The sequence below is a fragment of the Homo sapiens genome, chromosome 2, assembly GCF_000001405.40.
Source record: "Homo sapiens chromosome 2, GRCh38.p14 Primary Assembly".
Classification (NCBI taxonomy): domain Eukaryota; kingdom Metazoa; phylum Chordata; class Mammalia; order Primates; family Hominidae; genus Homo; species Homo sapiens.
The window spans coordinates 31,780,192-31,792,497 of record NC_000002.12 but is presented as its reverse complement, the minus strand read 5'-3'; positions in this window follow the sequence as shown (position 1 = coordinate 31,792,497).

The window sequence follows — 12,306 nt, the reverse complement described above, 5'->3', positions numbered from 1 at the left end:
ACATCTACTCTCATCAATTTTCAAGTGCCTAACACATTGCTATTAACTGTAGTCCCCCATGTTGTGTAATAGAGCTCTTGAACTTTTTCATCCTGATACCTCCCCAATCCCTTTCTTCTCAGTCTCTAGTAATCCCCATTGACTTTCTGCTTCTGAGTTTGACTTTTTAAAAATGTATGTATGTAGGTATTTATTTTTATACAGTTTTAAAAGTAACCTTATAATGTTGTTCTCCTCATTTTCAAAGGAACACTTGAAAATTTTGTTTTTAGTATTTAATGTTTATGGGTACATAGTATATATTTATGGCATATGTGAGCTATTTGGATGCAGGCAAACAATGTGTAATAATTATTAGGGTAAATGGGATATCTGTCACCTCCAGCATTTATTCTTTGTGTTACAAATAATTCAATTATACTCTTTTTTTTCTTTTTGTTTGAGACAGGATCTCACTCTGTCACCCAGGGTGGAGTGCAATGGAATGATCTCGGCTCACTGCAACCTCCACTTCCCGGGTTCAGGCAATTCTTCCACCTCAGCCTCCCAAGTAGCTGAGACTACAGGTGTGCAACACCGTGCCCAGCTAATTTTTTATTTTTTAGTAGAGACAGGTTTTCACCATGTTGGCTCCCAAAGTGCTGGGATTACAGGCATGAGCCACCATGACTGGCCTCAATTATACTCTTTTAGTGATTTTTAAATGTACAATTAAATTATTGACTATAGCAACCTTGTGGTGCTTTCAAATACTAGATCTTATTCATTCTTTCTATTTTTGTTTGTACCTGTTAAACATCCCCCCATCCCCCAACCTCCCCCACTACCTTTTCCAGTCTCTGGTAACCTTCATTCTATTCTCAATCTCCATGAGTTCAATTGTTTTGATTTTTAGCTCCCACAAATGAGTGAAAACAAAGTTTGTCTTTCTGTGCATGGCTTATTTCACTTAATATAATGACCTCCACAGCTCTATTCACAAATGACAGGATCTCATTCTTTTTTATGGCGGAATAGTACTCCATTGTGTATATGCAACACATTTTCTTCTTCCATTCACCTATTGATGGACACAGGTTGTTTCCAAATCTTGACTGTTGTGAATCGTGCTACAATAAACATGGGAGTGCAGATATCTCTTTGATATACTGATTTCCTTTCTTTTGAGTATATACCTAACAGTGGAATTGCTGGATCATATGGTAGTTCTATTTTTAGCTTTTTGAGGAACCTCCAAACTGTTCTCCATTGTGGTTGTACTAATTTACTTTCCCATCAACAATGTACAAGGATCCCCTTTTCTTCACATTCTTGCTAGCATTTGTTATTGCCTGACTTTTGGATGAAAACCATTTTAACTGAGGTGAGATGATATCTCATTGCAATTTTTTAAAAAAATAGAGACGGGGTCTTGCCATGTTGTCCAGGTTTTTCACAAACTCCTGGGCTCAAGCAATCCACCTGCCTTTGCCTCCCAGTCTTGTCTGGGATTACAGATGTGAACCACTGTGCTGGCCCATTGCAGTTTTGATCTGAATTTCTCTGAGGATCAGTTATGCTGAGCACCTTTTCATATACTTGTTTGCCATTTATATGTATTCTTCTGAGAAATGTTTCTTCAAATATTTTGCCCATTTTAAATTGGATTATTAGATTTTTTCTTATAGAGTTGTTTGAGCTCCTTATATATTCTGGTTATTAATCCCTTGTCGGATTGTTAGTTTGCAAATATTTTCTCCGCCTGTGCATTGTTTCTTCACTCTACTGATTATTTTCTTTTCTGTGCAGAGGCTTTTTAACTTGATATAACCCCATTTGTCCATTTTTGCTTTGATTGCCTGTGCTTGTAGGATATTACTCAAGAAATTATTTGCCCACTACGATGTCCTGGAGAGTTTCTCTAATGTTTTCTTATAGAGGTTTCATAGTTTGAAGTCTTAGATTGAAGTCTTTCATCCATTTTGATTTGATTTTTTTGTTTGCTTGTTTTGAGACAGTCTTGTTCTGTCACCCAGGCTGGAGTGCAGTGGTGCATTCTTGGCTTACTGCAACCTCCACTTCCTAGGTTCAAATGATTCAGGTGCCTCAGCCTCTCAAATAGCTGGGATTATAGGTGCATGCCACCATGCCCAGCTAATTTTTGTATTTTTAGTGTGGACAGCGTTTTGCCATGTTGGCCAGGCTGGTCTTGAACTCCTGATCTCAAGTGATCCACCCACCTTGGCCTTGCAAAGTGCTAGGATTACAGGCTTGAGCCACCATGCCCGGCTGATTTTATTTTATTTTTTTAATAGCAAGTGATAGGAGTCTAGTTTCATTCTGCTGCATATGGATATCCACTTTTCCCGGCAACATTTATTGAAGAGACTGTCCTTTTCCCAGTGTATGTTCTTGACACCTTTGTTGAAAATGAGTTCACTGTAGATGTATGAATTTGTTTCTGCGTTCTCTATTGTGTTCTATTGGTCTGTGTGTCTGTTTTTATGCCAGTACCATTACTGTTTTGGTTACTATAGCTCTGTAGTCTAGTGTGAAGTAAGGTAATGTGATTACTCCAGTTTTGTTAGTTTTGCTCAGGGTGACTTTGGCTCTTCTGTGTCTTTTGTGGTTTCATATAAATTTTAGGATTTTTTTTTTATTTCTGTGAAGAATGCCATTGGTATTTTGATAGGAATTGTATTGAATCTGTTGATTACTTTGGGTAGTATGTATGGACATTTTAATGATATTGATTCTTCCAATCCATTAACATGGAATATCCTTCCATTTTTTTTGTGTCCTCTTCAATTTTTTTCATCAATGTTTTATAGGTTTCGTTGTAGAGATCTTTCACTTCTTTGGTTAAGTTAATTCCCAAGTATTTAATTTTATTTGTAGCTATAGTAAATGGGGTTATTTTCTTGATTTCCTTTTCAGGCTGTTTGCTGTTGGCGTATAGAAATGCTAATGATTTCCGTATGTTGATTTTGTATCCTGCAACTTTACTGAATTTGTTTATCTGTTCTAATAGTTTTTTGGTGGATGACTTCTTAACAATTTTACATATAAGTGAGATTGTGTAGTATTTGTTTTTCTGTACCATTGTTTTTTATGACTTTGACTATTGAAGATTAATGGTTAGATTTTAGTAGAATGTTCCTCAATTTGGAGTTGTCTGATGTTTTCTCATGATTATCTTGGAATTATAGAGTTTCAGGAAGAATAACACAGAGGTGAAGAGCCCTTCTCTTAACATCATACCAGAAGGTACACGATGGGTGATTTTATTGCAGTTATCCTGTCCCTGCACCACCATTATAAATTGGGTATGGTGAGAGAGAAGATAATTTGTGTTTTTAGATTTTAATTTGTGAGATCATGAGGATCTTCCCCAGATTTGATGGAAAAGCTAGCATATCACTGGATGCTGGATCTTGAGCTGGATGCAATGACTGGATGTCACTTTAGAATGTTTCTCTTGACGAGAGAGTGAGAATGTTCTATATAAGAATGGAAGTGTGAAACAGCTTCTGGTTACCAGAAGGGCAGACCATGGCAGAAATGGACTAGGTTTTCACCATATATATTTCCTCTTCTTGGACACACAGTGAAACAGTGTTTCTTAGCTTTCTTGTATCTATGTGGGGCCATAAGAATAGTTCTTTTCAATAGAATATGATTTGGAATGATTTTTCACTTCCGGTTTCAGATAGTTAAGAGGGAGTGCCTTCTATGCACTCTCCCTCTCACCCTCTCGCCCTCTCATGCCACATGGATGCTGAGGGCTTCCTTGAAACTATGAGTTGAAGGTGGTAGAGCCAGAGACTGCAAAGAGGCCTGTACTTTGAGGACAACTTGGCGAACAGTCCACGCCTATGATATGAGAAAGAAGTAAGCCTTTATTGTGTTAAGACACTGAGATTTGAGGTTTATTTATTTTAACAGCATAGCTCAACCTGTCCTGACTAATACAATATACATACCCATCCTGCAGTATTATATGCCTTAGGTGGTATGGGAACATATGTATTTTTAAAATCTAATCACGTGATTCTGCTTCTCTTTCATCCCTTATTCCCATCAACCCCCTTATTTCTACACATTGGTTCAGTTTAAGAAACATAATACATCAGATCTATTTCAAAGGTCAACTTAGAAGGGAAATGTTTCGATTGAGAGGAAGATGTTAGCTGAGAATGAAAGGCTGTTTTAGATGGCAAGTTCAAAGAAAGGAGACTACTATGAAAAGGTAAAACATCCTCCCTGCCTCCCTCCCTCCCTCCCTCCCTCCCTCCCTCCATTCCTCCCTTCCTTCCTTCCTTCCTTCCTTCCTTCCTTCCTTCCTTCCTTCCTTCCTTCCTTCCTTCCTCCCTCTACTTTGGATTTAATTTTCTCTTCTTTTTCTTGTTTCCTAACTTGGAAGCTTAGATTGTGGATTTTAGGTCTTTCTTCTTTTCTAATGTATGCATTCAATGCTATACATTTCCCTCTAAGCACTGTTTTCACTGCACCTCACTAATTTTGATATGTTGTATCTTTATTTAAAATATTTTAAAAATTCTCTTGAGATATCTTCTGTCACCCATGTATTAGTTGGAATTGTGTTGTTTAGTCTTCAAGTAACTTGGGATTCTCCAGCTATCTTTTTGTTATTGATTTCTAGATTATTCCATCGTGGTCTAAGAGAAGACATTGTATGATTTCTATTCTTTTAAATTTGTTAAAATATTTTTTGTGGCTCAGAATGGGATCTATCTTGGTGAATGTCCCATGTGAGCTTGACAAGAATGTGTAATCCACTGTTGTTGGATGGACTAGTCTATAGAAGTTAATTATATCCAGTTGATTGATAGGGCTGTTGAGTTCAACTACACACTTAATGATTTTCTGCCTGCTGCATCTGCCCATTCTGATAGAGGGGTGTTAAAGTCTTCAACTTTAATGTGGATTCACCTATTTTTCCTAGCAGTTCTATCAGTTTTTTCCTCCACATATGTTGATGTTCTAATTTGTGAACAAATTAAGGATTGTTAAGCCTTCTTGGAGAATTGACCCCCTTCTCATTATGTAATGTCCCTTTTAATCCCTGATAACTTTCCTTGCTCTGAAGTCTGCTCTGTCTGAAATTAATATAGCTGTTGCCACTTTATTTTGATTAGTGTTAGCATGGTATTTCTTTCTCTATTACTTTACTTTTAATCTGTATGTATCTTTATATTTAAAGAGAGTTTCATGTAGGCAACATATAGCTGGGTCTTGTTTTTTGATCCACTTTAACAATCTCTTTTTAAAAATTGGTGTAAACAGACCATTGATGTTTAAGGTGATTATTGATATAGTTGGATTAATATCTACCATATTTGTGACTGTTTTCTACTTGTCACATGTGTTCTCTGTTCCTGTATTGTCTTCCACACTTTTTTTTTGCCTTTGTGGTTTTAATTGAGCATTTTATAAGGTTCATTTTTTCTCCTTTTTTTAGCATGTCAATTATAGTTCTTTTTAAACTTTTAAAAGTGGTTGCCCTAGAGTTTGCAATATACATTTACAATTAGTCCAAATCTGCTTTTAAATAACATGATACTGCTTCATGCATAGTGCAAGTACCTTATAGCAATAAAATATTTCTGATTCTTTCCTCCTATCCCTTGTATCATTGCTGTCATTCATTCACTTATACGTACATACTTATATGTTCCTTGACTTATGACAGGGTTATGTCCTGATAAACCCATCATAGGTCATAAATATTGTGAGTAAAAAATACATTTAATACACTTCACCTACCAAACATTACAGTTTAGCCTAGCCTAAGTGGTTTTCTTTAGGAAACAGTGCTGCTAAAACACAACATGGGAGCAGAAGCAATTTAAAATGTTCAAGACATTAAATGCAGGACTGTGACTCTATGTTGCCATTTAATATGCTTTGTATTGTAGGATATAAAAACTAACCCCCATCTATGGAATGTTAAGCTGATACCCAAGACAGTCAAAAACACTCATAATTCAATATCCCACACTATTTCCTGGTTGTACCAAAAAATAAACAACCCAGCAAATGATTTCACCTCTTAAAAAAAAGCATTTATACTGATATTCACTGTGAAGACCTTGTGGAACTCTTCTACATTAAACTCACAATTGTGTGTGTGTGTGTATGTGTTTATTTTGTGAAGACACCAAATATATATTGTCTTATCCAACAATACTTCTTCAGTTCTCTGGTTCTCCAACACCAACTAGATGTCTGACGATTCAATTCAGTTCTGACACTGACTTCCCAGATTTAGCATCAGGCTCTCCTGGTTTAAGGAGTTGGTGCCACAATATTTCCTTTGCTTCAGGTGTCAGTCACAAGCATTGAGTCACCCGTATTTCTGACTTACTGGCTATAAATTGGGCATTTCCACACTTCCCTCCTCAATGTTAATGATTTGCTAGAATGGCTCACAGAACTCAGAAAACTACATTACTTGGCCATTGCTGATTAACTCAATCTCCAGTTCCTCTCTCCTTCCTGGAGGCTGGGCAAGGCTTAATCTTTCTGGTGATCAGCCCCCATCCTGAAGCTATGTATGGGCTACCAAGAGTTGTCTCATTAAAACAAAAGATGCTCCTATAACCCTTATTACTCAGGAAATTTCAAGGGTTTTGGGACCTCTGTGCCAGAAACTGGTGACAAAGACCAATTTTTTTTTTGGTTATACCATAGCCCCCTATGACTGGGTCCTTCTGGAGTTTTAAAACAACTTTTATTTTAGGTTCAGGGGTGCATGTGAAAGTTTGTTGTATAGGTAAACTCATGTCATGGGGGTTTGATGTACAGATTATTTTATCACCCAGGTAGTAAGCCTAGTACTCAATAGTTTTCTGCTCCTCTTCCTCGTACCACTCTCCACCCTCTGGTAGGCCCCAGTATTTGTTGTTCTGCTCTTTGTGTCCATGTGTTCTCATCATTTAACTCCCACTTCCAAGTGAGAACATGCAGTATTTGGTTTTCTGTTCCTGCATTAATCTCCTAAGGATAATGCCTCCAGCTCCATTCATGTTCCTGCAAAGAACATGATATTCTTTTTTATGGCTGCATAGAATTCCATGGTGTATATGTACCATATTTTCTTTATCCAGTGTACCATTGATGGGAATTTAGGTTGATTGTATGTCTTTGTTATTGTGAATAATAACAAAGTGAATAATAGTGCTGCAGTGAACATATGCATGCATGTGCCTTTAGGATAAAGTGATTTATATTCCTTTGGGAACATATCCTGTAATGGGATTGCTTGGTTGAATGGTAGTTCTGTTTTCAGCTGTTTGAGGAATTGCCACATGGCTTTCCACAATGGTTGAACCAATTTACATGCCTATCAACAGTGTATAAGTGTTCCCCTTTTCTCTGCAACCTTGCCAACATCTGCTATTCTTTGACTTTTTATTAATAGCCATTCTGACTGGTGTGAGGAGGTATCTTGCTGTGGTTTTGATTTGCATTTTTCTAGTGATCAGTGATATTGAGCTTTTTTTTCATATGCTTATGGGCTGCATATATGTCTTCTTTTGAAAAGTTTCTGTTCACATCCTTTGCCCAATTTTTTTATTTTTATTTTTTTAAAGACAGGGTCTGGCTCTGTTGCCCAGGCTGGAGTGCCGTAGTGTGATCTCAGCTCACTGCAATATCTGCTTCCTGAGCTCAGGTGATCCTCCTGCCTCAGCCTCTTGAGTAGCTGGGACTACAGTCACGTACCACCATGCCTGGTTAATTTTTGTGTTTTTAAAAGAGATGGGGTTTTGCCATGTTGCCCAGGCTGGTCTCGAATGCCCTGAGCTCAAGTGATCTGCCTGCCTTGGTCTTCCAAAGTGCTAGGATTACAGGCCTGAGCTACCACTCCCAGCCTCTTTGCCCACCTTTTAATGGGGTTGTCTTTTTCCTTGTAAATTTGTTTAAGTTTCTTATATGTGCTGAATATTAGCCCTTTGTCATATGCATAGTTTGCAGATATTTTCTCCTATTCTGTAGGTTGTCTGTTTACTCTCTTGATAGTTTCTTTTGCTGTGCAGAAGGTCTTAAGTTTAATTAGATCCCATTTGTCAATTTTCGCTTTTGTTGCGATTGCTTTTGGTGTCTTTGTCATGAAATCTTTGCCAGTTCCTATGTCCAGAATGGTATATCCTAGGTTATCTTCTAGGGTTTTTATAGTTTTGGGTTTTACATTTAAATCTTCAACCCATCTTGTGTTGATTTTTGTATATGGTGTAAGGAAGGGGTCCAGTTTCAATCTTCTGCATTTGACTAGCCAGTTATTCCAGCACCATTTATTGAATAGGGAGTCCTTTCCCTGTTGCTTATTTTTGTCAACTTTATTAAATATCTATTGGGGGAACCAGCCCCCAATATTTCAACATAGGTTCTTTTCTATTTTCCCTAAGTGTCAGCCAGTCTGAGAAATAAAGAGAAAGAGTACAAAGAGTAGAATTTTACAGCTGGGCTGCCAGGGGTGACATCACATATTGGCTGGTTCTGTGATGCCCACCTGAGCTGCAAAACCAGCAAGTTTTTATTAGGGATTCTAAAAGGGGAGGGGGTGTATGAACAGGGAGTAAGTAACAAAGATCACATGCTTCAAAGGGTAATAAAAGATCACAAGGCAAAGGCAAAATTAGAATTACTGATGAAGGTCTGTGTCCCACTGTGCATGCATTGTCTTGATAAACATCTTAACAGGAAACAGGGTTTGAGAGCAGACAACCGGTCTGACTAGAATTTACCAGGCTGGAATTTCCCAATCCTGGTAAGCCTGAGGGCACTGCAGGAGACCAGGGCATATTTCAGTCCTTATCTCAACCGCATAAGACAGACACTCCCAGAGCGGCTGTCTATAGACCTACACCCAGGAATGCATTCCTTCCCCAGGGCTATTCCTTGCTGGGAAAAGAATTCAGCGACATTTCTCCTACTTGCACATCCATCTATAGGTTTTCTGCGAGAAGAAAAATATGGCTGTATTCTGCCTGACCCCACAGGCAGTCACACCTTATGTTATCTTTCCTTGTTCTCTGAAAATCGCTGTTATTCTGTTCTTTTTCAGGGTGCACTGATTTCATATTGTTCAAACACACGTATTTTACAATCAATTTGTACAGTTAACATAATCATCACAGGTCCTGAGGTGATGTACATTCTCAGCTTACAAAGATAATGTGGTTAAGAAATTAAAGACATGCATAAGAAATTATAAGAGTATTGATTGGAGAAGTGATAAATGTCCATGAAATCTTCACAATTTATGTTCAGAGATTGCAATAAAGACAGGCATAAGAAATTATAAAAGTATTAATTTTGGGAACTGATAAATGTCCATGAAATCTTCACAATTTATATTCTTCTGCTGTGGTTCCAGCTGGTCCCTCTGTTCGGGGTTCCTGACTTCCCGCAACAAATATCAGACGATTGTAGGTGTGTGCCCTTATTTCCAGGCTCTTTATTCTCTTCCATTGGTCTATGTGTCTGTTTTTGTACCAGTACCATCTATTTTGTTTGCTTTACCCATGTAGTATAGTTTGAAGTCAGGTAGTGTGATGCCTCCTGCTTTGTTCTTTTTGCTTAGGATTGCTTTGCCTATTCGGGCTCTGTTTTGGTTCCATATGAATTTAAAAAATTTTTTTCTAGTTCTGTGAAGAATGTCATTGGTAATTGGAATAGCATTGAATGTGTAAATCACTTTGGGTAGTATGACCATTTTAACAATATTTATTCTTCCTATCCATGTGCATGGAATGTCTTCCGTTTGTTTGTGTCATCTCTGATTTCTTTGAGCAGGGTTTTGTAATTCTTATTGTAGCAATCTCTCACTGGTTAGCTGTATTCCTAGGTATTTTATTTTTGTGTGTGTGGCAATTGTGAATGGGATTGTGTTCCTGGGATTGACTCTAGGCTTGACTATTGTTGGTGTATAAGAATGCTAGTGATTTTTGTACATTGACTTTGTGTCCCAAAGCTTTGCTGAAGTTGCTTATCAGCTCAAGGAGCTTTTGGGCAGAGACTATGGAGTTTTCTAGATATAGAATCCTGTAATCTTCAAACAAGGATAGTATGGCTTCTTCTCTTTCTATTTGGATGCCTTTATTTCTTTCTCTTGCCTTATTTATCTGGCCAGGACTTCCAATACTATGTTGAATAGGAGTGGTGAGACAGATCATCCTTGTCTTGTGCCGATTTTCAAGGGGAATGCTACCAGCTTTTGCCCATTTTGTATGATGTTGGCTGTGGGTGTTTGTCATAAATGGCTCTTACTATGTTGAGGTATGTTTCTTCAATACCTAGTTTTTTGAGAGTTTTTAACATGAAGCAATGTTAAATTTTATCAAAACCCTTCTGTGCATCTAGTGAGATAATAATGTGGTTTTTGTCTTTAGTTCTGTTTATGTGATGAATCATATTTATTGATTTGTGTATGTTGAACCAACCCTGCATCCCAGGGATAAAGTTTTTTGATGATCATGGTGGATTAGTTTTTTGATGTGTTGCTGGATTCTGTTTGTTAGTATTTTGTTGAGAATTTTGCATCAATGTTCATCAAGGATATTGGGCTGAAGTTTTTGTTGTTTTTGTGTCTCTGCCAGGTTCTGGTACCCGGATGATGCTGGCCTCAAAGAATGAATTAGGGAGAGGTTCCTCCTCATTAATTTTTTGGAATAGTTTCAGTAGGAATGGTACCAGCTCTTCTTTGTACATACGGTAGAATTTGGCTGTGAATCTGTCAGGTCCTTGGCTTTTTTTGGTTAGTAAGCTATTTATTACTGATTCAATTTTGGAGCTTGTTTTTGGGCTGTTCAGGCAATCAGCTTCTTCCAAGTTCAGTCTTGGGAGGCTGTATGTATCCAGTAATTTATCCATCACTTCTAGATTTTCTAGTTCGTGTGCGTAGAGGTTTTTATGCTGTTCTTTGCTGGCTATTTGTATTTTTGTGGAGTGGTATTGTTCCCTTTGTTGTTTCTAATTGCATTTGTTTGGATCCTCTATCATTTCTTCTTATTCGTTTAGTTAGCAGTTTATCTATCTTATTAGTTTTTTTCTAAAAACCAACTCGTGGATTCATTGATCTTTTGAATGATCTTTCACATCTCAATCTCCTTCAGTTCAGCTCTGATTTTGATTATTTATTTTCTTCTGCTAGGTTTGATGTTGGTTGGCTCTTGCTTCTCTTGTTCTCTTAGTTGTGATGTTAGGTTGTTAACCTGAGATCTTTCTAACTTTGTGATGTGGGCATTTAGTGCTACAAATTTCCCTCTTAACACTGCTTTAGCTGTGTTCCAAAGATTCTGTTATGTTGTATCTTTGTTCTCATTAGTTTCAAAACATGTCTTGATTTCTGCCTTAATTTCATTAGCTACCCAATAGTCATTCAGGAGCAGGTTGTTTAATTTCCATGTAATTGTATGGTTTTGAGCAATTTTCTCAATCCTGATTTCCAATTTTATTGCACTGTGGTCTGAAAGAGTGGTTGGTATGATTTTGATTCTTTTGTATTTGCTGAGTAGTGTTTTATGTTTGATTGTGTGGTCAATTTTAGGTTATGTGCCATGTCACAATAGGAATAACTTATATTTTGTTGTTTTTGGGTGGAGAGTTTCTGTAGATGTCTATCAGGTCCATTGGTACAGTATTAAGTTCAGGTCCTGAATATCTTTGTTAATTTTCTGCCTTAATAATCTGTCTAATAATGTCAGTGGAGTTTTGAGGCCTCCGACTATTATTGTGTGGGAGTCAAAGTCCTCTTTGAAGGTCTCTAAGAACTTGCTTTATGAGTCTGGGTGCTCCTGTGTTAGGTACATATATATTTAAGATAGTTAGGTCTTTTTGTTGAATTGAACCCTTTGCCATTATATAATGCCCTTCTTTCCCTTTTTTTGATCTTTTTCGTTTAAACTCTACTTTGTCTGAATTTAGAATTGCAACCCTTGCTTTTTTCTATTTTCCATTTGCTTGGTAGATTGTTCTCCATCTCTCTGTTTTGAGCCTGTGAGTGTCATTGCTTGTGAGATAGGTCCCTTAAAGACAACATGCCATTAAGTCTTTCTTCTTTATCCAGCTTGCTACTTTTTGCCTTTTAAATGGGGCATTTAGCCCATTTATATTCAAGGTTGGTATTGATATGTGTGGAGTTGATCCTGTCATTGTGTTGTTAGCTGGTTATTATGCTGGCTTGTTTGTATGGTTGCTTTATAGTCTCACCGATCTGTATACTTCAGTGTGTTATTGTAGTGGCTGGTAATGGTCTTTCCTTTCCACAGTGCTTCTTTCAGGAGCTCTTGTAAGGCAGGTCTG